Here is a 26,022-nt window from a genome sequence, read left to right on the forward strand (position 1 = left end):
AGCCCATCTGCCCAAAGAATCCTTGGAGAGTTCTCTGAGCTCCTCAGGTAGGTGCTCCATGGCAGATTTGTTTTGATCCCTTTATAAAGTTGAGAATTCTCCAGAGTGAATTCCAGAAATCTCAGGAGATTTTGGAATCTCTTTGTCTTTAGGAAGGGGAAATGATAAACCTGAACACTAGAAAAGGGCAAAAGTAGAAGCAATCTTTGACAAGAACAAGTATAATACCTGTGAACCAACTGGCAGCAAAATCAATGATCAAATGTCAGTTTGTAATCACTCAGGAGATTTTACATCCTTGGGAAAGAATGAGTCTGATTTAGAAAGCTTAAATAATATGTTGCTTTGTATATTTAAACATTCTTGTATTTTGTCTTCTTGTGAGTTATATTCAAAAGAATGTGAAGGGAAACCATATTTAAGAAATTTCTCGTATAATTTACCCATGAGTTAAAAATTATTTTCATGAAGTCCTAGTTTTAAAGCTAGAAAGCACCTCCAGAACAACTAAGTCCATCTCTTTCTTTGTAGATGATAAGTTTGCATTATAACAGCAAATGCATTTCTAGCAGAAAAGTGGTATAAAGGCAGACAAGGTTCGAATCCAGGTTCCAATACTTACAAATGGTATGATTTTGAGTAAATTGCTTGACATCTCTGGGTCCCCAGATTACTCAAGTGTAAAACAAACAATGACGCTGGTCTCCACTTTATAGGGTGGTTGTGAGTGTTCAACAAGGTACAGGGAGTCTCTAGCACAGTGCCTGGCTTCCTGCCTCCCTGCTAGTGCGCAATTGAACTTTTTATTTGTTCATTTTATTGAGAGCAGGATGTTAAACATGCACATGGCTAGCTGCTTATCTTTTCTGGGGAAAATGAGGAGAAAAGGAGCTGGGCAGTGCCTATTCTCCTTGTTTATCCTCCTGTCTTGCAGTTTTAGCTCCTTTCCCATTCGATTTCTTACCTATCTTCTTTGGAGTCATGGCAAGACACTACCAGTCCCTGCTGCTACAGGCTTTGCAGGAGCCTATGGATTCAAAGGGCCTGAGCCCAAATGTAAAACATGACAGTAAGTTTTGAATAGCAACTTTATCTGGAAATCATTCACAACGGCTTCCCAAGCAGTCACAGTGAGGCCTTCTGAGGTATCAAGACTGTTCTACATCTTGCTCTAGGAGGCAGTAAAAATTCACTGTGCACACTGTGTCAGTGACACCTTAATAAAAAGGTAAATTAGAAAAATGACTTTATTTTTGTCTTAGAATCTATCTTTTTACTTTTTAAATTACTGAATAAATGGATTTGTTTTAGAAGTTTACTTTCTAATTCGTGTTTCCTTTTATCAGCAGTTAATATCTTTGAATAGATTGGGTCAAAGATTTCAAAGATTAATAAAGACTTCACCAGGTGGGAATTAAGCATGATCAGAAAGCACAGTGTTTTTCAGCCTTCCTATCTAGAATGAAAACATCTGGTAGAGGAAATGGGACTTTTGGAGGTGAATGAAGTGAAAATGGGAATTGACTTTGTGCTGGTGCCTTTCACCCAGGACTCTACCATCCTGTCAACTATAAAGGCAGACATATTCGCTCTTTTTTCCTCACGACTTAGCCTAATGGCAGGCACGTAGTAGGGTATCAAGAAGTTGGGTGACCACCTATCCTGGGAATATCCTGATTTGTGCCTCTTGGTCATGCTTAGTTAGTCTTCCCCTTTCACTGTCAAGTTTTTTTTTGTTTGGAAGATAAATTATATGGTCATTCTATCAAGAAGTGTTAGTGTTTATGGAAGATGGGTAGAGTCCTGAATGGGAACAAAGACAACAGATCAACTTTTGGTACATTGTATGAGCTAAAATAAACCACTCAATCACACAAATACAGTTTCCTCAGTTGTAAATTCCTGTAAAAAGACAAAAATGTTTACAACATTCTTTAATGAGTAAGCACAGGAGTTAATAAAAACAGGTCACTAATTTTGTAAGCACTTTGTAAAAAACAATGCTTTTTTTAGCATTAATTAATTCAATAAATATTTACTGACTGCCTACTAAGTGCAATGCCTGACACATGAATGCAATGCTAATAAGACAAAGCCAGCACCCGTTGCAAGCACTCCTTGTAAGAGCTTGGACTGGTACAGGATATTTGTGTGGAAACACAGCTTAAAAGGCTGTAGTCACATGAGGAATTACAAGTAGGTGTGGAAAAGTGATTCTATTTAATAGGCTAAAATAGAGACTATATGGAGATATTTCCAAAGTTAGCTCATTGGTGAGGGACAAACTTGTATTCATTAATTCTGTGCTAACTTGTATGGCTACATAGTTATATTGAGCTTTTTTATGTTGCTAGTAACCAGGCATTGCGCATCAGTTCTGAATAGTTTATTCCTTTCTCCAGGTGAAAATTTCAACTTCCCCATGATCTAAAGAGTTTTTGACAGATAAATAATTGGCAAAATAATTTGATTGGCATAAATTTTCTCCAGGCAATAGCTCTAGTGCGTGGTTTACAGCTAGTTAAGCAGATAGCAAAAGGTGGCTGACAAACCTCGTTACAATGGTGCTTGTCCTCTTTTTCTGTTTCTGCTAATTCATCTGCCTATATTTTATTTGTTATATTTTTGAGGGCAATACATGAACTTGTGAAGAAAACTGTTTCATGTCAGCAGCAAATCAACTATAAGAGAGGCTTCCTAGTAACCCCATGATGATGTCATTTGCAGTTACTGTGGTCATGGGATTTCACCTGCCACTAGGAATGTCAAGGGATAGATTCACAGGGAAGTTAAAAAAAGAGAGCTGAATCGATTATCTGGAAATATAAATAAATATTTGTTTGAACCATATAAAATTGAAGTTTTTATAGGTAAAAACAGTAGAATACCAGCAAGATAATATGCCTTAACTGAATAGAACTGCAATGGCAGAAAATTTGTGATTTGAGTAGTCACTCTCTTCAAAGATAAAATTAGGTCTCATTATTTAACTCTACACCTTATTTTGTTTCTGGAAACAAAACCAAAGCCTATTTATCCAAGCTTTACACCCTGATCTTAAAAAAGATCTTTTCCACTCTAACAAATAAACTAGTGTACTCTCTCTGGCAGACTTCATTAATTTATTTCTGAAGGGAGATGATTTTAAGCATGCTGAGACGAAGAGGTGGCCTCTGTAATGTTACAGAACAGCTGCACTGTTGGTTTGCTGGACACTCAGTGTCCCTTAGGACGAATATGGCATGTGGTGCTTCTACTTGAGGAAGCTTCTCTCAGTGATAAGGCAGTGTAGCCTTCACCATTGAGAAAGTGCCAGGCCTTAAAAAGGAGCAAAGGGACTTGGAGACTAAAATAAAACTAAACCAAATGGTGGAAACATGCTCAACTCCTTAATTTATCTGATTAGCTCCAACAGGCGCCACCATGTAGAACATTTGCTCCTATCCCAAATGCTATTAAGGCAGCAGTGGAACTATTTCTAGGCTTGCCTCCAGAATGATGGGGGATGACCTAATAGTGGATTTGGTTTCAGCCTGGAGTCGCTACAAAACGGTGACAGACTGCAGTCACTGCAAAAGTCTTTAGGCATCAAGTGTTCTGAACACATACCTGCCTGGAGGAGATTCCCCAGCCCTGAAGGAATGTTCCTCTAACCTCAGTCCCAACCCAACTCCAACTCCTATTCTATATTATTATGCTTTATTTTTTTAATGCAGAAGCATAGTTGCTTGGACTTAAGAATTCTGCCTAGAAATTGGTTAATGCACACAAGGCTAGTTTAATATGGAATAATTGTCTCTTAAAATTGCACTATGTTGCTGTGGAGGGTGCCAAGAGGGACAAAGCTATCTTATGCTGTTCTGCGGTCTGGGATAGGAATTATCAGTAGGAGAAAAACTTTGAAGTCTTTGTGTTCAGGCAACATATAGAAATTCTGATAACCCTTCTCTAACCGTCTTCAAAATCAATATGCCTGTGCCCCAGTCCTCAATCAATCTCACCACTAGTTGTGTGTCCTTGAATTATGAATTACTCAACCTCTCTGGGACTGACTATTCATTCATTTGCACACAGAAAACGTCTGGAAGATCTCTAAGGATCTTGAAAATACTAACATGCTATGAGTATAAGTGTAAAAATACCTTTAAAAGTTGAAAATGATGTATAGATAATTATTATAAAAAATTCCCAAAATTAGCACTTCCAATTCTGCTGTTTAGTGACTGGCCAATATTATGAACTCCATTTTACAGATGTGTAGATGATTTTTCAAGTAACTTAATTGAAATGTTTATGGAACACCTATGCTAGGTACAGAAGCTTAGAAGCTTATCCAGGTTTGTTGGGCCAGAATCTCTTGATTCAGAGGGCCCTCTTTACTATACCTATATCTATCTATCTATATAAAAAATTAGGTATGAAGTGAATATTTAAGAGTGAATATTTCTAGAATGAGAAAAGAAATCACAGCAAGTTACCAGAGTCTTAGAGATTCAAGTCTCTTTTTTTTCTGAGCTCCCTTTAAGTAATTTATCTGAATTGTTTACATAGAAATGCTTTTGATTGAAACCTGGCTTCCCCTCCTTACCTAGACAGAATATTCTGTAGCTTCCAGCAATGTGCCACACTAAGTGGGGCCTGTGCAAGTGAACAGCCCTGAAAGTTAAGGTTTATGAAGCTTCACATAAATCTGCCTCTGACTAAATTCTTTAGGGATTCAAGACATATAAGACATGGTTTGCATACCCAAGTAAATTACAGTGACTTACAGCCATTAGACCTACAAGAAAATAGCTACTTGGTATTGTTTATCCACGTGAAACAGTTCTACTAGCAAAAGGATTCAAATGGAAACACTTTTTTTATTTAAAATTTTATTGTGAATTAAACTTAGACCTACAGAAAAGTTGCAAAAATGTTACGTAAAGTGCCCATACTTCACTCACCTTCCCCTTATGTTAACACCTTACAATGTACATTTGTTGATACCAGGAAATAAGCATTCTTAGAATACCATTAACTAAATTACAGACTTTATTCAAATCTTACCAGGTTTTTAACCAAATTTTCACCATGAATCCATTTCTGTTTCAGGATCCAAATCAGGATCCCACACTGCATTCAGTAGTCATGTCTCCTCAGTCTCTTCCTATTTGTAAGTCCCTCAATCTCCCCTCAACTTTCATGACCTTGACACTTTTATTTTCTTTGAGACAGAGTCTCGCTCTGTCATCCACTGCAGTGGTGCAGTCTCGGCTCACTGCAATCTCCGCCTCCCGGGTTCAAGCGATTCCCCTGTCTCAGCCTCCCGAGTAGCTGGGACTACTGGCATGTGCCACCACGCCCGGATTTTTTTTTGTATTTTTAGTAGAGACAGGGTTTCATCGTGTTAGCCAGGATGATCTCGATATACTGACCTCATGATCAGCCCACCTGGGATTACAGGCATGAGCCACCACGCCCAGCCGACCATGACACTTTTAAAGAGTCCTGCAGGCTGGGCACAGTGGCTCACACCTGTAATCCCAGCACTTTGGTAGGCTGAGGCAGGCAGATCACCTGAGATCAAGAGTTCGAGACCAGCCCAGCCAACATGGCAAAACCCCGTCTCTACTAAAAATACAAAAATTAGCTGGGTGTGGTGGCGGGCACCTGTAATCCCAGCTACTTGCCTCCAGATTGGTGGAGGATGAACTAATAGTGGATTTGGTTTCAGCCTGGAGTTGCTGTGAAATGGTGACACACTGCAGTCAATGCAAAAGTCTTCAGGCCTCGAGTGTTCTGAACACATACCTGCCTGGAGGAGATTCTCCAGCCCTGAAGGAATGAAGGAATGTTCCTCTAACCTCAGTCCCAACCTAGCAATGAGCCGAGATGGCGCCATTGCACGCTGTCTTAAAAAAAAAAAAAAAAAAAAATCCTGCTTAAGTATTTTGTAGAATATTTATCAATTTCTGTTGTCTTATGTTTTCTTATGAATAGATCGAGGCTATGCATTTTTGGCACAAATACTACAGAAATGATGTTGTACTCCTAGCTCATAATCCAATATCATTACTTATTTTCTTGCTAAATTGTTTCAACTTCGGTCTTTCAAAGCTACTTTAGGCTGGCTCCTGTTATCATTTCAACATGCCTTCATCCTTTTTTTGAGCATTTCTTTACTTTGTGGCACCAAAAGTGTTCTAAGCTCATCTTATATTTTCCCTTCCCCAGCTCTGGAATCAATCAGTTTTCCAGGAAGCCTGATATTAGGTCTTCGTGATTGGTGTGTTCTTCTCTTTTTTCCTAAAGTTCTGGGCCTTCAATGGTTTATTTCCTGAAACTAATAAATATATGCATTATCATTCACTAGGAGCGGGTCTGTGTATACTTTTTCTAAACTGAAATTGTAAAGGAACCTTGAATATGAGTTCTGGCCACATTATCAAAGGCCAGGCATAAGCCTCCAGGACATTCAAGCAAGCTTTTCAAGGACATTGCTCAAGAAAGAAGTTATTTCTGACATTTCTCTTCCCTTATTTCCCATGTCTAACTGGCTGCATCTGTGAATCCTCTCACAAGTCTGTCCCCTCTGCTCATCTTCACTGCCACTTCACTGGTTTTGGTCCTTCCCTGGCCCATGTCACAGCCTCCTGATGGTCTTCCTGATTTCATTCTCTCTTTCCTTCAACTCATCTTCCACATGGATGCATAAATAATCATTCCATTTGCAGATCCAACCTCATTGCTTACTCCTAAAGCTAGAAGAGGATGGTTTTTCTACATTTTGATGGTTTTTCTGAGCCTATCATTGGCGATATAGTTCTCTCATATTAATAGTGGTGGTTCTCAAACTTTTTGTGTAAGAGAATCATCTGGAGGGCTATTAAAATATAGCTTGCTAGGGTCCACTGCCAGATTTCCATGCTAGTAGGTCTGGGATGTAGTCTGAGAATGTGTACTTCCTGCAAGTTTCCACGTGATGCTGATGATGCTGCTTCAGGTAACTACTGACCAACAAGATAATGTCCAAACAGCTTAACGAGAAACTTAAGACCTTTTAACAACTAGGTCTTTGTACCTCCCATCTCTCTACTTTTTTTCTCAAACATGCTGTTCTTTTTCATGTCTTGCATGACCTCTGCATATAGTAATTTCCCAACAGTTCTGCCTGTTCATCTTTGTCTCCTACGTTTTTCTACATTTTGCAGATTACTATTCTGGCTCCCCTCTTTCCTATTCTTCCAACTTGAGAAGGCTTGTTATTCCTCTGGGGCCCAATAGTACTTGATACATAGCTTACTATGAAAATTACAACTTGGTGTTGGATTTAGTAATTTACTCATTCACCCAGTAGTTCTTGAGTTCTCTAGAAGCAGGACAGTTCCAAGTTCTTCTTTAGTCTTGGTTCTCCAGCTCTCAGTCCTCACAGCACCCAGTCTAGAATAGGCACTGAATAAATGTTGAGAGAAACACAACATTTTCAAGGAAGGTATTATGATCTTTACACTAAAGGAGGTAATAAAGAGTTTCCAAGAACACTTCAAGATCTATTACTGTTATATTACAGGTGAAAGTTTATTTTAAATAAGAGATTATCTTAAGATATGGAATTAGCTAAAAGATTTAGGAACTCTGATCACTTATTGAAACCAGGTAATTTGAATCAGGATTCTCACACAAGTTTAGGATGGCCTAGTGGTCTGGCAACATGGCATCAAGTGAAACAGATTTGGCAGTTCTGCTGTGATCCAGACTGGTAATTAAGTCTTCTTTTCTGTGTGGGCTGTTAATTGGTCTACCTGAAGAATTGCCAATCCCCATTTGTAGTCTGTAGACAGTATTATTTACTGTCAACAGATGTCAGCTATTATAGTGACCATCCTTAGTCTTCTTAATTACATCATACCCATCAACTGAAATCTAGAACCAGGGTTCTTAACCAACTCTTGATGGTCATTGAAAAGATTTGGTGGCCTATGAACATGGATGGAAAACAATCACATATTAATTTTCACCAAGTTATAACTGAAGTATTTCCTTCAATTAATTACTGATATAGGCAACAAATACAATTGTATTGGGGGTACCTGATAACTTTTTGTCATTGATAGAAATCATCTATATTTTTATACTGTATTATAGCAGTTATTTCTGCTTACAATTATTTCAAAATTACAATAGTTATTAGATGTGCTAATAAAGGAGCACATACACTATTATATCACACATTTTGAAATATTTTGATATCTGTATTTCAAAATCAGTTGCTTTCTCTATAAGTGTTGTTTACATATTTAACACAGAATCCTATGTGTGCTATTTTATATATTTAAAACATTATTCTGAGAGTGGATCCATATCTTTTAAGGGGATCTTGAAGTGGTCCATGACACCAGAAAGGTGAAGAACCTCCACTGTAGAAGGTAAGGTTAGGATTGAACTCTGTTGACGTTCACTGCATAACATAGTTTTGTAGGAGAATTTTTAAAAAGCAATAGAAAAAATATCAAGTTTACTTTGGATACTCAAGTGTCCATTTAAGGAGTTCATAAAATAAAACAATGATTAATGAATTATAGCAGAACATTTTCTCCTATTATGTACAAACTGCAAGTGAAATAGTCTTTGATTTCTTGGGCCACATGCTCGCAGTACGGTAATAGTTAAATTAATTTCTAATATGTCTCATCTCATTATGGATCTGTGCAATAGTCTCTTTCAATTTTAAATTGAACTTCAGGGGAGATTAAATACTTAGGTATTCCAGTTTGTATAAAATTTCTAGATTCATACAAATTAAACTTCCTCTGTCTAAATGACCCTAATCATTCTAATTTAGCTAGATGGAGCTTATTTCCTTTTGACAGGGCTTGTCATGTTGAATCTTACCCAGGGAGATGAACAGCATGCCAAGTGGGTAATAAGTATTCCAGATGTTGCCTTGCTGCTTTCCAACAAAGTTATTAATAAAAGTCAGTTGCTTCTTATCTTTTTTTATCCTCTAATATTGCTGAGAATCTAAACTTCCTTTCTCCCAATTAAGATATGGTAATTTAAAAGTACAGTAAATGGGCTGCTGCAGAGGAAGGTGATTTTTATATAAGTGGCTATCCATCATGAATGGTACATCAGGGATTCTTAGGGCAATCTGAGGCTTGATGGGACTGTGGGTGGGAAAAAGTGAAGGAGAATATGAAAAAGATTTGACAGAGCTCTGAGTCTCAGATTGTTCATGTGTGCTGGGGAAGATTGAGCATCAAAAGAGCCATTTTATTTACTTTTGGCTGGAATAAGAATACAGGTGGGAATAGCTACCACTATAGCCACTTGATTAAAATTGATCTCCCCTAGTTAGACTGTGGTGGGAAGCCTTGAAAGACTCTTGGTCCACCTTCTATGCATACCTACATCCCGTCTCTGCAGCGGCCCTGAGAGGCCTCTATGCAACAACTACCAAGGTCCTTTGGTGGGAATTCACGTGTCTGTCATCAAGAAACTGAAATGAAAGTGTGTTTGGACTGCAGAGAGGAGAACAGTGGTGGCTGAAGGGAGATATGAGCCTGGAGAGAGATTCAGAGGCCAAAAGTTACAAGGCCTGATTTCAGGACAACTTCTACATAAAAACATGCCTTTTAAAGCTTACTGGAAATATCTAATTTTTATTAGGTATAAGAAAATTAGATATTATTCAGAGCTAGGAAAAGCCTAATCATAATAGATAATGTTAATTATAATACTTTGCCAGTGTGATGGCTTGAGTCTCTTTCAAAACACTTTGGGCTTGGTGGATTTTATGTGAATTTTCCTTCAATTAAAAAAAACTGGGCTTCCTTTTACTTTGCTCTCTCTCCTTTTAAATTCAAAGCCATGGAAAAGCTTTTGTATTTTAAAAGGTATAGAGGGGTGGTTAATATTACTTTAGAGAAAGAAGAGATGTAAATAATTGGCAAAGTGAAATAAAGTTATTTTCAGAAAACAGTCTTAATCAGCAACAGAACTCACATTTGCACATTCATATATATATATACACACAGCCTTGCACTGTCTCTCATCCTTTGATTTTGGTTATAGCTAACAATAACCTGACATCTAGTTTAAACCACTTTGAACTTTAAAGTGGAAGAAATTTTGCATTAACACCATGTTTGCTATGAAATCAGTACTTCCAGCGTTTCCAATATGCTTGAATGGTTATGTGGATTTTTTTATTCAGACACAATTTCCTCAAATGTCAACAAAGAAATGCCATTCTGGGTGCAAATATTTTTCTCTCCTATCATCTCCATTAGTTTTTCAACTTTATTAACTATTGAAATTATTAAACTGAGCTATACTGACATCTGCTGGACAAAAATCTGCCTTAATAATTAGACAGATTTAATAACTAGGTAGTTACTATTGAGTAGGAAGCAAAGCTATATTAAACAAAATAGAAAGTAAAACTAAGTTAAACATAGCATCATTAACTTATATGTAATACATCTAAGTAAACATTTCTAAGTCCATTTCTCTAGCTGGTGAAATTGTTATTTCAATTTGGTGGTTTAACACACATTTTCTGTGCACCCATAAGCATTACACACTGCATATACTCAGAGGGTCTGGTGTAGATAACAGGGTCCTTTCTTGAAAGGAGTGGAGGGTCTGGTGGGGAAGACATACTGTATATATAAACAGATATTTTCGCGAGTGTTCTCTCCAAGCTGCCTTCTGTCAGCATCACAGTGGATGGTCCTGTACCCATTGTTCCCAGAACATCTTTGTGCAGGGAACAAACCAGAGCAGGATCATTTTGTCTGTTAAGCAATACAGACATAGTTATTTGGGCATAGGAATTTTTCATGGGCCTATAAATATGGGTGTGTATTCTAAAATGCAACACAACAACAGAAAATTAAGATTACCAAATTTCAAATTAAATGTCTATAGAAAATATAATGTTAACTTCTCTATTTTTAAAACTGAGTATTCATGAATTTTAGGTTAGACACCTTCACTTCTCAGGAATTCCTGGTTATGTGTGATGAGTTCTAAAAAATCACAGCCAATTATTAAAACCATTAAACAATATTTGTAGCCAAATATTGTCAAAAGAAAAAGCATAACAATCTTTTAAAAATTTATTAAAATTTTAATAGAAAAATTAAAGTGAAATGTACATGCACTTTTAATGTACTTGAGGTAACGTGGGGAGAGATTATGATGATCTTTTAATTGCCTTTTAATTGAGCTAAGACAGAAGCTGAGCAGAAAAGGGGTTGGGATGTGCATGCTCTCAAAGGGAGGGTGTACTACAGTTACGGAGAGGAGAAGTCATGAGCAAAAGAACAGAAGTATGACTGATTGACTGACTATAGATCGAATTGGAATAAAGGGATGATTGATATTGAAACAGTGGTTTTCAAACTTGACCAACATCACAATCACTTGGAGGATTTGTTAAGGCATATTGCTATTCCCTGCCTCCAGAGTTTTTGACTTAGCAGGTCTTGATTGGACCCTAGAATGTGCATTTCTGTCAAGTTCTCGGTAATAAAAATTTATGTTGCTGTTCCACACTGCATTTTGAAAACCAATGGTCTGAGATAATATGCAACTTTTTTTGCCTTGAACACCCAGGTATTTGGTAATACTATTAATTGTCTTAGGAAGTTCAGATGAAGGGACAACATAGAGGAGTGGGAAATAGAAAAGATGATGAATTTGGCTTTTTTAAGGAAACAGAAGAAAATCCATCAAAGCCAAACCTACAGAAGGTCTTCTAGTATGCCTCAATAAAATGTGAAAGCAACTCCTGTTATTCAAAGTAATATTATTTTCTTATTTTAAAATCTTATTTTAACTCAAGTTAAAGCATTGAAGTTACCTAAGATGCTAGTATTTGATACATGATACATTGGAATCTGTGTTTTACCCTGGTTTATAAATAGCTTAAAATCCACTTTTATTTATTTATTTTTTATTATACTTTAAGTTCTGGGGTACATGAGCAGAACGTGCAGTTTTTTTACATAGGTATACACGTGTCTTAGTGATTTTCTGCACCTATCAACCTGTCACCTACATTAGGTATTTCTCCTAATGCTATCCCTCCCCTAGACCCTCACCTCTTGACAGGCCCCGGTGTCCATATGTTCTCATTGTTCCCCTCTCTGTGTCCCCGGTGATGCTCCCCTCTCTGTGTCCATATGTTCTCATTGTTCAGCTCCCAATTATGAGTGAGAACATGTGCTGTTTGGTTTTCTGTTCTTGTGTTAGTTTGCTGAGAATGATAGTTTCCAGCTTCATCCATGTCCCTGCAAAGGATGTGAACTCATCCTTTCCATTGGCTGCATAGTATTCCATGGTTTGTATGTGCCACATTTTCCTTATCCAGTCCATCATTGATAGACATTTGAGTTAGTTCCAAGTCTTTGCTATTGTGAATAGTACTGCAATAAACATACGTGTGCATGTGTCTATAGTAGAATGATTTATAATCCTTTGGGTATATACCCAGTAATGGGATTGCTGGGTCAAACGGTATTTCTTGTTCCAGATCCTTGAGGAATCGCCACACTGTCTTCCACAATGGTTGAACTAATTTACACTCCCACCAACAGTGTAAAAGCGTTTCTATTTCTCCACATCCTCTCCAGCATCTGTTGTTTCCTGAGTTTTTAATGATTGCAATTTGATACACGATACATTGGAATCTGTGTTTTACACTAGTTTATAAATAGCTTCTAATTGGTGTGAGATGGTATCTCACTGAGGTTTTGATTTGCATTTTTCTAATGACCAGTGATGATGAGCTTTTTTCCATATGTTTTTTTCTTGACTACATAAATGTCTTCTTCTGAAAAGTGTCTCTTCATAGCCTTCACCCACTTTTTGATGGGGTTGTTTTTCTCTTGTGAATTTGTTGAAGTTCCTTGTAGATTCTGGGTATTAGCCCTTTTGTCAGATAGATAGATTGCAAAAAATTTCTCCCAGTCTGTAGGTTGCCTGTTCACTCTGATGATAGTTTCTTCTGCTGTGCAGAAGCTCTTTACTTTAATTAGATCCCATTTGTCAATTTTGGCTTTTGTTGCCATTGATTTTGGTGTTTTAGACATGAAGTCTTTGCCCATGCCTATGTCCTGAATGGTATTGCCTAGGTTTTCTTTTAGGATTTGTATGATTTTAGGTCTTACATTTAAGTCTTTAATCTATCTTGAGTTAATTTTTCTATAAGGTGTATGGAAGGGGTCCAGTTTCAGTTTTCTGCATATGGCTGGCCAGTTATCCCAACACCATTTATTAAATAGGAAGTCCTTTCCCCATTGCTTGTTTTTGTCAGGTTTGTCAAAGATCAGATGGTTGTAGATGTATGGTGTTATTTCTGAGGCCTCTGTTCTGTTCTAGTAGTCTATATATCTCTTTTGGTACCAGTATCATGGTGTTTTGGTTACTGTAGCCTTGTAGTATTGTTTGAAGTCAGGTATCATGAAACCTCCAGCTTTGTTCTTTTTGCTTAGGATTGTCTTGGCTATGTGGGCTCTTTTTCATTTCCATATGAAGTTTAAAGTAGTTTTTTCTAATTCTGTGAAGAAAGTCAATGGTAGCTTGATGGGGATAGCATTGACTCTAGAAATTACTTTGGGCAGTATGGCCATTTTCATGATATTGATTCTTCCTATCCTTGAGCATGGGATGTTTTTCCATTTGTTTGTGTCCTCTCTTATTTCCTTGAGCAGTGATTTGTAGTTCTCCTTGAAGAGGTCCTTCACATCCCTTGTAAGTTGTATTCCTAGGTATTTTATTCTCTTTGTAACAATTGTGAATGGGAGTTCACTCATAATTTGGCTCTCTGTTCGTCTGTTATTGATGCATAAGGGTGCTTGTGATTTTTGCACATTGATTTTGTGTCCTGAGACTTTGCTGAATTTGCTTATCAGCTTAAGGAGATGTTGGGCTGAGATGGTGGGGTTTTCTAAATATAAAATCATGTCATCTGCAAACAGAGACAATTTGACTTCCTCTCTTCCTATTCGAATACTCTGTTTATTAGCATGAAGGAGCATTGAATTTTGTCGAAGGCCTTTTCTGCATCTATTGAGATAATCATGTGGTTTTTGTCATTGGTTCTCTGTATGTGATGGATTACATTTATTGATTTGTGTGTATTGAACCAGCCTTGCATCCCAGATATGAAGCCAACGTAATCATGGTGGATAAGCTTTTTGATGTGCTGCTGGATTTGGTTTGCCAGTATTTTATTGAGAATTTTTTCATCGATGTTCCTCAGGGATATTGGCCTGACATTTTCTTTTTTTGTTGTGTCTCTGCCAGGTTTTGGTATGAGGATGATGCTGGCCTCATAAAATGAGTTAGGGAAGAGTCCCTCTTTTTCTATTGTTTGGAATAGTTTCAGAAGGAATAGTACCAGCTCCTCTTTGTACCTCTGGTAGAAGTCGGCTGTGAATCCGTCAGGTCCTGGACTTTTTTTGGTTGGTAGGGTGTTAATTACTGCTTCAGTTTCAGAACTTGTTATTGGTTTATTCAGGGATTCGACTTCTTCCTGGTTTAGACTTAGGAGGGTGTATGTGTTCAGGAATTTTCCATTTCTTCTAGATTTTTTAGTTTATTTGCATAGAGGTGTTTATAGTATTCTCTGATGGTAGTTTATATTTCTGTGTGATCAATGGTGATATCCCCTTTTTCATTTTTCAGTGTGTCTATTTGATTCTTCTCTCTTTTCTTATTAGTCTTGCTAGTGGTCTATCTATTTTGTTGATCTTTTCAAAAAACCAGCTCCCGGATTCATTGATTTTTTTTGTAGGGTTTTTGTGTCTCTATCTCCTTCAGTTCTGCTCTGATCTTAGTTATTTCTTGTCTTCTGCTGGCTTTTGAATTTGTTTGTTCTTGCTTCTCTAGTTGTTTTAATTGTGATGTTAGTGTGTCAATTTTAGATATTTCCTGCTTTCTTTTGTGGGCATTTAGTGCTATAAATTTCCCTCTACACACTGCTTTAAATATGTCCCAGAGATTCTAGTACATTGTATCTTTGTTCTTTTTGGTTTCAAAGAACATCTTTATTTCTGTCTTAATTTTGTTATTTACCCAGTAGTCACTTAGGAGCAGATTGTTCAGTTTCCTTGTAGTTGTGTGGTTTTGAGTGAATTTCTTAATCCTGAGTTCTAATTTGATTGCACTGTGGTCTGAGAGACTGTTTGTTATGATATCCATTTGATTGCATTTGCTGAGGAGTGTTTTACTTCAATCTATGTGGTCAAGTTTAGAATAAGTGCAATGAGGCGCTGAGAAGAATGTATAGGCTGTTGATTTGGGGTGGAGAGTTCTGTAGATGTCTATTAGATCTGCTTGGTCCAGAGCTCAGTTCAAGTCCTAAATATTCATGTTAATTTTCTGTCTCGTTGATCTGTCTAATGTTGACAGTGGGGTGTTAAAGTCTCTCACTATTATTGTGTGGGAGTCTAAGTCTCTTTGCAGGTCTCTAAGAATATATATATATATATATATATATGCAACAAGAAGAGCTAATATATATATATATATAAACAAGAAATAACTATATATAGTTAACAAGAAATAACTATACATATATAACTATATTTATTTCTTGTTATATATATATATATATATATATATATATATATATATATATATATATTAGCTCTTCTTGTTGCATTGATCCCTTTACCATTATGTAATGCCGTTCTTTGTCTCTTTTGATCTTTGTTGGTTTAAAATCTGTTTTTTCAGAGACTAGGATTACAACCCCTGCTTTTTGCTTTTTTTTGGTTTCCATTTGCTTGGTAAATATTCCTCCATCCCTTTATTTTGAACCTATGTGTGTCTTTGCACATGAGATATGTCTCCTGAATACAGCACACCGATGGGTCTTGACTCTTTTTCCAATTTGCCAGTCTGTGTCTTCTAATTGGGGCATTTAGCCCATTTACAATTAAAGTTAATATTGTTATGTGTGAATTTGATCCTATCATTATGATGGTAGCTGGTTATTTTTTCCGTTTCTGATGCTGTTTCTTCATAGCATTGATGGTCTTTACAATTTGGCATGTTTTTGCAGTAGCCGTTACTGGTTGTTCCTTTCCATATTTAGTGCTTCCTTCAGGAGCTCTTGTAATGCAGGCCTGGTGGTGACAAAATCTCTCAGCATTTGCTTGTCTGTAAAGGATTTTATTTCTCCTTTGCTTATGAAGCCTAGTTTGGCTGGATATGAAATTCTGTGTTGAAAATTCTTTTAAGAATGTTGAATATTGGCCCCCACTCCCTTCTGGCTTGTAGGGTTTCAGCCGAGAGACCTGATGTTAGTCTGATGGGCTTCCCTTTGTGGGTAACCTGACCTTTCTCTCTGGCTGCCCTTAACATTTTTTCCTTCATTTCAACCTTGGTGGATCTGACAATTATGTGTCTTGGGATTGCTCTTCTCGAGTAGTATCTTTGTGGTGTTCTCTGTATTTTTAAAATTTGAATGTTGGCCCATCTTGCTAGGTTGGGGAAGTTCTCCTGGATAATATCCTGAAGAGTGTTTTCCAACTTGGTTTCATTATCCCCATCACTGTCAGGTACACCAATCAAATGTGGATTTTGTCTTTTCACATAGTCTGATATTTCTTGAAGGGTTTGTTTGTTCCTTTTCATTCTTTTTTTTTTTCTAATCTTCTCACTTTATATCATTAAGTTCATCTTCAATCTCTGATATCCTTTCTTCCTCTTGATTGATTTGGCTATTGATACTTGTGTATGCTTTACAAAGTTCTCGTGCTGTGTTTTTCAGCTCCATCAGGTCATTTACATTCTTTAAACTGGTTATTCTAGTTTGCAATTCATCTAACTTTTTTTTTGAGGTTCTTAGCTTCCTTGCGTTGGGTTAGAACATGTTCCTTTAGCTCAAAGGGGTTTGTTACTACCCGCCTTCCAAAACCTGCTTCTGTCAATTCATCAAACTCATTTTCCATCCAGTTTTTTTTCCCTTGCTGGTGAGGAGTTGTGATCCTTTGGAGGAGAAGAGGCTTTCTGGTTTTTGGAATTTTCAGCCTTTTTGCACTGGTTTCTCCCCATCTTTTTGGATTTATCTACCTTTGGTCTTTGATATTGGTGACCTTCGTATGGGGCCTCTGAGTGGATGTGCTATTCCTTTCTGTTTGTTAGTTTTCCTTCTAACAGGCCCGTCTGCTTCAGGTCTGTTGGAGTTTGCTGGAGGTCCACTCCAGACCCTGTTTTTCTAGGTATCACCAGTGAAGGCTGCAGAACAGCAAAGATTGCTGCCTGTTCTTTCCTCTGGGAGCTTTGTCCCAGAAGGGCATCCACCAGATGCCAGCCAGGGCTCTCCTGTATGAGATGTCTCTCAGCCCCTACTGGGAGGTGTCTCCCAGTCAGGGACCCACCTGAGGAGGCAGTCTGACCCTTAGCAGAGCTCGAACACTGTGCTGGGAGATCCACTGCTCTCTTCATAGCCTTCAGGCAGGGATGTTTAAGTCTGCTGAAGCTGCACCCACAGCCACCCCTTCCCCCAGGTGCTCTGTCCCAGGGAGATGAGGGTTTTTATAAGTCCCTGACTGGGGCTGCTGCCCTTTTTTCAGAGATGCCCTGCCCAGAGAGGAGTAATCTAGAGAGGCAGTCTGGCCACAGTGGCCTTGCTGAGCTACAGTAGGCTCTGCCCAGTTTGAACTTCCCCATGGCTTTGTTTACACTGTGAGGGTAAAACCACCTCCTCAAGCCTCAGCAATGGCAGACGCCCCTCTTCCCACCAAGCTCGAGTGTCCCAGGTCAACCTGACTGTTGTGCTGGCAGCGAGAATTTCAAGCCTGTGGATCTTAGCTTGCTGGCCTCCTTGGGGTGGGACCCACCAAGCCATACCACTTGGCTCCCTGGCTTCAGCCCCCTTTCCAGGGGAGTGAATGGTTCTGTCTCACTGGCATTCCAGGCACCACTGGGGTATGGAAAAAAAAATAACTCCTGCAGCTAGCTCAGTGTCTGCCCAAATGGATGCCCAGTTTTGTGCTTGAAACCCAGGGCCCTGGTGGTGTAGGCACTGGAGGGAATCTCCTGGTGTGTGGGTTGCGAAGACTGTGGGAAAAGTGCACTATCTGGGCTGGAGTGCACCATTCCTCAGGCACAGTCCTTCATGGTTTCCCTTGGGTAGGGGAGAGAATTCCCTGACCCCTTGTGCTTCCCGGGTGAGGCGACACCCCATCTGCTTTGGTTTGTCCTCCACAGGCTGCACCCACTGTCTAACCAGTCCCAATGAGATGAACCGGGTACCTCAAGTGGAAATGCAGAAATCACCTGCCTTGTGCATCAGTCTCTCTGGGAGCTGCAGACCAGAGCTGTTCCTATTTGGCCATCTTGCCAGCAGTCTCAAAAATCCACTTTTAATAATGAAATTTAATATAACATTTTCAGAACTGCTTCAGACTTGAGCTTGAAAATGACCAATCTGGCACAAAATTCTCAATGTATGGCAAGTATTGTGAAGCTCAAAGTGGTGAAGTGATATTTAAATGTAAGGTACAATATTGTTAAGTACAATATGGTATAGCAGATGTCTAGAATTTTTTCATCTTGCATGACTGAAACTCTATACTCATTGAACTTCCCATTTTTCCCCTTCCCCCAGCCCCTAGAAACCATCATTCTTCTTTCTGCTATTATGCATTTGACTATTTTAGGTATCTCATATAAGTGGAATCATGAAGTATTTATCCTTCTGTGATGGGCTTATTTCACCTAGTGTAATGTCCTCAAAGTTCATACAGGTTGTAGCATATGTCAGAATTTCCTCCTTTTTTATGGCTGATAATATTCTATTGTATGTACATACCACATTTTCTTTATCCATTTATCCATGGATAGATTATACCACTTGGCTACTGTGAATAATGTTCCAATAAACATGAGAGGACAGATATCTCTTTGAGATTCTGATTTCAGTTCTCTTGGAAAAATATCCAGAAGTGGTATTCCTGAATTACATGGTGGTTCTGTTTTTCATTTTTAGAAGAAACTCCATACTGTTTTCCATAATGGCTACACCATTTTAGATTTGCATTAACCATGTGAAAGCATTCCAATTTGTCCACATCCTTGCCGACACGTGTTATTTTCTGTATTTTTTTTTGTATTTTTTGTTTTTAATAATGGTCATCCTAGCAGGTATGATATGTTACCTCATTGTAATTTTGATTTGCATTTTTCTGATGATTCGTGATGTTGAGCATCTTTTCATATACTTGTTGAACATTTGTATGTCATCTTTAGAGAAGTGTCTATTCAGGTACTTTGCCCATTTTAATTATATATATTTTTTGCTATTGAGTTATAGGAGCTCATTACATGCTTTAGATATTAACCCCTTGCTATTGTCTGAATTTTGTGTCCTTTTAAAATTCATATGTTAAAATCTAATCCTCAATGTGTTTGTATTAAGAGGTAGAACCTTTGGGAGGTGACTAGGTCATGAGGGCATAGCTCTCATCACTGGAACTGGTGCCTTTATAGGACCAACTGAGGGAGCTCATTTGCCTCTTCTGCCATGTGAGGATGCAGCAAGAAGGCACCATCTTTGAAGCAGAGAGAGAGCCCTCATCAGACACAGAATCTGCTGGTATCTTGATCTAGGACTTTCTAGCATCCAAAACTAAGAGCAATAAAATTGTTGTTTATAAATTACCCAGTCTAAGATATTTTGTTACAGTAGCCCAAACAGACTAAGACACCCCTTATTATATACAAACATACCTTGAAGATATTGCAGGTTTGGTTACTGAACACTGCAATGAAGTATTGCAATAAAGTGAGTCACACAAGTTTTTTGGTTTCCCAGTACATATAAAAGTTATGTTTATACTATACTGTAGTATATTAAGTGAGCAATAACATTATGTCTTCAAAAAGTACATATCTTAATTCAAAAATACTGTATTGCTGAAAAAAATCATAATAATTATCTGAGTTTTTTGCTGGTGGAGGGTTTTACCTCAATCTTGATGGCTGCTGGCTGATCAGTGTGGTGGTTGCTGAAGGTTGGGTGGCTGTGGCAATTTCTTAAGATGAGACAACAATGAAGTTTGCCACATCAATTGACTCTTCCTTTCATGACAGATTTCTTTGCATCATGTGATGCTGTTTGCATGTGATAGCATTTTACTCACAGTAGAACTTCTTTCAAAATCAGAGTCAGTCCTCTCAAATCCTGCTGCTGCTCCATCAACTAAATTTATTTAACATTCTAATTGTTTTGTTGTCGTTTCAACGATGTTCATTTCAACGATGTTCATAGCGTCTTCATCAGGAGAGCTTTCATCTTAAGAAACCACTTTCCTTGCTCATTCATAGAAAGCAACTGCTCATCCATCCAAGTTCTATCATGAGATAGCAGCAATTTAGTCATATTTTCAGGGTCCATTTCTTTCTAGATCTCTTACTGTTTCTATCACATTTGCAGTAATCTCCTCCACTGAAGTCTTGAATGCCTCAGTTATCCATGAGATTACATTAAGTTCTAAACTCCTGTTAGTGTTGATATTTTCACCCCTCCCATGAATCATAAATGTTCCTAAATGGCATCTAGAATGCTGGCTCCTTTTCTGAGGTTTTCAGTTTACTTTGACCAGATCATCACACAAATCACAATCTATGGCAGCTATGGCCTTACAAAATGTATTTCTTAAGTCATAAGTCTTGAAAGTCAAAATTACTCCTTGATCCACAGGCTGCAGAAAGAATGTTGTGTTAGCAGGCATGAAACCATTAATCTCCTGTACCTCTCCGTCAGAGCACTTGGGTGACCAAGTACATTGTCAGTGAGCAGTAATCTTATAAAATAAATCTTTTTTTTTCCTGATCAGCAGATCTCAATAGTGGGCTTAAAATATTCAGTAAACTGTGCTGTAAACAGATGTGCTGTCATCCAAGCTTTGTTGTTCCATTCACAGAGCACAGGCAGGGTATAATTAGCATAATTTTCCAAGGCCCTAGAATTTTTGGAATTGTCAGTGAGCACAGGCTTCAAGTCATCAGTTGCATTAGCCCCTAACAAGAGAGTCAGAGTGACTTTTGAAGCTATGAAATCAGACATTGGCTTCTCCTCTCTACCTGTGAAAGTCCTAGATAACATCTTCTTTTAATATAAGGCTGTCTATATTGAAAATCTGTTGTTTAGTGTAGCCACCTTTGTCGGTAATCTAAGCTAGATCTTCTGCTGCAGGTTCTACATCAGCACTTGCTGTTTCACTTTGTACTTTTATGTTACAGAGATGGCTTCTTTCCTTAAACCTCATAAAACAACCTATGCTAGCTTCGAACTTTTCTTCTGTAGCTTCCACACCTCTCTCAGCCTTCAGAGAACTAAAGAGAGGTAGGGTCTTCCTCTGGATTAGGCTTTGGCATAAATGAATGTGGCAGAGTTGATCTCCTATCCAGATCACTCAAACTTTTTCCATGTCAGCAATAAAGGTGTCTTACTTTTTTTTATTATTTGTGTGTTCACTGGAGTTGCATTTTTAATTTTCTTTAAAGCTTTTCATTTGCATTCACAACTTGGTGCAAAAGTCCTCACTTTAAGCCTATCTCAGCTTTTGACATGCTTTTCTCACTAAGTTTAACTATTTCTAGCTTTTGACTTAAAGGGAGAGAAATGTGATTCTTCCTTTCAGTTGAACACTTACAAGCCATTGTAGGGTTATTAATTCACCTAATTTCAATATTGTGGTGTCTTAGGATATAGAGAAGCCTGATAAGAAGGAGAGAGATGGGGGAACAGATGGTGGTAGAGCATTCAGAACACACATAATGTTTACAGGTAAAATTTGACTTTTTATATGTGGTGTGGTTCACAATGCCCTCAAACAATTGCAATAGTAACATCCAATTTCACTGAGAACAGATCACCATATCAGATATAATAATAAAGAAAAAGTTTTAAATATTGCAGAAAATACCAAACTGTGATACAGAGACGTGATGTGAGCACATGCTGTTGGGAAAATGGCACCAACAGACTTGCTTGATGCAGGTTTGCCACAAACCTTCAATTTGTAAAAATGAAATTATCTGTGAAGTGCAACAGAATGAGGTATGCCTGTATATGATTTGCAAATAATTTCTCCCATTTCGAAGATTGCCTTTTCACTGTGTTGTTTCCTTCATTGTGGAGATTTTTAGGTTGATGTAGTCTCACTTGTTTACTTTTGCTTTTATTGCCTGTGCCTTTTGTGTTAAATTCAAGAAGTCATTGCCAGACCAATGTCATGAAGCTGTTTCTCTGTGTCTTCTAGGAGTTTCATGGTTGCAACTTTTATTTTAAGTATTTAATCCATTTAAAGGTGACTTAAATATTTTTTTTCATTTTTGTGGGTACATACTAGGTGCATGTATTTATGGGGCACATGAGATATCTCGATACAGGCATACAATGTATAATAATCACATCAGGGTAAACAGCATATCTATCACCTCAAGCGTTTATCCTTTCTTTGTGTTGCAAACAATTCAATTCTACTTTTAGTTGTTTAAAAAAGTAAAATAAATTATTGTTAACTGTAATCACTCCATTGTTCTATCCAACACTAGATATTATTCATTCTAATTATATCTTTGTATAATAATTAATAATCCCCACTTCCCCCAACCCACCTCTACCCTTCCCAGCCCGTAGAACCATCACTCTAGTTTCTATCTCTGTAAGTTCTATTGTTTTAATTTTTATCTCCCATAAGTAAGTGAAAATATGTGAAATTTGTCTTTCCGTGCCTAGCTTATTTCACTTAACATAATGAAGTCCATGTTGTTGCAAAAAAAAAGGATCTCATTCTTATTAATGGCTGAGTAATACTCCATCATATATATGTACCACATTTTTTTTCCTTCCAACTTTTAGGTTCAAGGGGTACATATGCAGGTTTACTACATGGATAAATTGTGTCCTGGGGCTTTAGGGTACAGATTATTTCATCACCTAGGTAATGAGCATAGTACCTGATAGGGAGTTTTTTGATCCTCTCCTTCCTCCTAGCCTCCACCTTTAAGTAGGCCCAGTGTCTATTGTTTCTTTCTTAGTGTCAATATATACTCAATGTTTAGTTCCCACTTATAAGTGAGAACAGGTGGTATTTGTTTTCTGTTCCTGTGCTAATATGCTTAGGATAATGGCCTCTAGCTCCATCCATGGTGCTGCAAAGGACATGATTTCATTCTTTTTTGGTATTCCATGGTGTATATGTACCACATTTTCTTTATCCAGTCCTTCATTGATGGGCATCTAGGTTGATTTCATGTCTTTGCTATTGTGAATAGTGCTGCAATGAACATATGAATGTGTCTTTATGACAGAATTATTTATATTCCTTTGGATATATATCCAGTAATAGAATTGCTGAGTCAAATGGTAGTTCTGTTTTAAGTTCTTTGTGAAATCTCCAAACTGTTTTCCATGGTGGCTGAACTAAGTTACATTTCCACCAGCAGTGTATAAGGATGGCATTTTCTCTGCAACCTTGCCAGCATCTGTTATATTTTGACTTTGTAACATTAGCCATTCTGACTGGTATGAGATGCTGTCTCATTGTGGTTTTGATTTGCATTTCCCTAATAATTAGTGATGTCAAGCATTTTATTCATATGCTTGTTGGCTGCATGTACATATTCTTTTGAGAAATGTCTCTTCATGTCCTTTGCCCATTTTTAAAATGGGGTTGTTTTTTACTGGTTAATTTGTTTCCGTTCCTTATAGATTCTGAATATTAGACCTTTGTCAGATGCATGGTTTGCAAATACTTTCTTCTACGCTGCAGGTTGTCTGTCTTACTCTGTTGATAGTTTATTTTGCTGTCCAGAAACTTTTAATTAGGTCCTCACTTGTCATTTTTTCTTTTTGCAATTGCTTTTGGAGTCTTTGCCATGAAATCTTTGCCAGGGCCAATGTCAAGAATGGTATTGTAGGTTTTCTCCTGGGATTTTTATAGTTTTAGGTTTTACATTCAAGTCTTTAATCCATTTTGAGTTGATTTTTGTATGTGGTGAAAGGAAGGAGTCCAGTTTCAATCGTCTTCTGCATATGGCTGGCTAGTTATCTCAGTAGCATTTATTGAATAGAGAGTCCTTTCTCCATTGCTTGTAGTTGTCAATTTTGTTAAAGATCAGATAGTTGTAGGTGTGCAGCTTTATTTCTGGGTTCTCTATTCTTTTCAATTGGTCTATGTGACTGTTTTTGTATCAGTACTAAACTGATACAAAACTGATACTTTGGCCTTGTAGCACAGTCTGAAAGTAGTGTTATGCTTTCAGCTTTGTTCTTTGTGCCTAGGATTGCTTTGGTTATTTGGGCTCTCTTTTGATTTCATATGAATTTTATAGTTGTTTTTTTCTAATTCTGTGGAAAAATGCCATTGGCAATTTGAGAGGAATAGCATTGAATCTATACATTGCTTTGGGCAGTATGGCCATTTGAGTGATATTGATTCTTCCGATCCACGAGCATGGAATGTTTTTCCATTTGTTTGTGTCATCTCTGATTTCTTTCAGCAATGTTTTGTAATTCTTGTTGTAGAGATCTTTTGCCACCCTGATCAGCTGTATTCCTATGTATTTTATTCTTTCTGTGGCTATTGTGAATGGAATTGCATTCTTGCTTTGTCTCTCAGCTTGGACATTGTTGGTATATAGAAATGCTACTGATTTTGTACATTTATTTATTTATTTATTTTTGTATCTGAAACTGTTGAAGTTGTTTATCAGACCTAGGAGCCTCTAGGCAGAGACTATGGGGTTTTCTAGGTATAGAATCACACTATCTGTGAAGAGACATAGTTTGACTTCCTTTCTTCCTTCTGACTTCCTTTCTTCCTATTTAAATGCTTTTTATATCTTTCTCTTGCCTGATTGCTCTAGGTATAACTTCCAGTACTATGCTGAATAGGAGTGGTAGAGTGAACTTCCTTGTTTTGTTTTAGTTCTCAAGGGGAATGCTTCTAGTTTTTGCCCATTTATTATGGTGTTGGCTGTGGGTTTGTCATAGATGGCTCTTATTATTTTGTGGTCTGTTCCTTCAATGCCTAGTTTGTTGAGGGTTTTTTAACATGAAGGGATGTTGAATTTTATTGGAAGCCTTTTCTGCCTTTATCGAGATAATCATGGTTTTTGTTTTTAGTTCTGTTTATATGATGAATTACACTTATTGATTTGTGTGTGTTGAACCAACCTTGCATCCCAGGAATAAAGCCTACTTGAACATGGGATTAGCTTTTGATGTGCTGCTGGATTTGGTTCACTATTATTTTGTTGAGGATTTTTGCATCATGTTCATGAAAGATACTGGCTTGAAGTTTTCTTTTTTTCATTGTGTCTCTTCCACGTTTTGGTGTCAGAATAATGCTGGCCTTATAGAATGAGTTAGGGAGGCATCCCTCTTCCTCAAGTTTTTGGCTTAGTTTCTGTAGGACTGGTAATTTCTTTATATGTTTGGTAGAATTGAGCTGTGAATCTGTCTCATCCAGAGATTTTTCTGATTGGTAGGTTTTTCAATACTGATTCAATTTCAGAACTCACTATTTGTTCAATTTTGATTTCTTCCTGGTTCAATCTTGGGAGGTTGTTTGTTTCTAGGAATTTATCCATTTCTTCTATGTTTTCTACTTTGTGTGTAGAGAGGTGTTTGTAATAGCCTCTGAGGGTTTTTTTTGTTATATTTCTGTGGGGTTGGTAGTAATGTCCCTTTCATCATTTCTGATAGTGTTTATTTGAATCTTCTCTCTCTCTTTTTATATTAGTCTAGCTAGCAGTCTATCAATCTTATTCTTTCAAAAAAACCAACTTTTGGTTTTGTTAATCTTTGTATGGTGTTTCAAGTCTCAGTTTTGTTCAGTATAGCTCTGATTTTAATTATTTCATTTCTTCAGCTAGCTTTGGTATTGGTTTGCGCTTATTTTTCTGGTTCCTTTAGATGCGATGTTGTTAATTTGAGATCTTTCTAACTTCCTGATGTGGGTGTTTAACACTGTAAGTCTTCCACTTAACACTGCTTTAGTTGTG

The 26,022-nt window shown here is 37.5% G+C and overlaps 1 long non-coding RNA gene across 3 annotated transcripts in view; it reads left to right on the forward strand.

Annotated features, from left to right (window-relative positions):
• The window catches only part of LANCL1-AS1 (LANCL1 antisense RNA 1), a 145,622-nt gene that overhangs the window by 64,593 nt on the left and 55,007 nt on the right, over window positions 1-26,022 (forward strand). The window lies entirely within an intron of this gene.

Source organism: Homo sapiens, chromosome 2 (assembly GCF_000001405.40).
Source record: "Homo sapiens chromosome 2, GRCh38.p14 Primary Assembly".
NCBI lineage: Eukaryota > Metazoa > Chordata > Mammalia > Primates > Hominidae > Homo > Homo sapiens.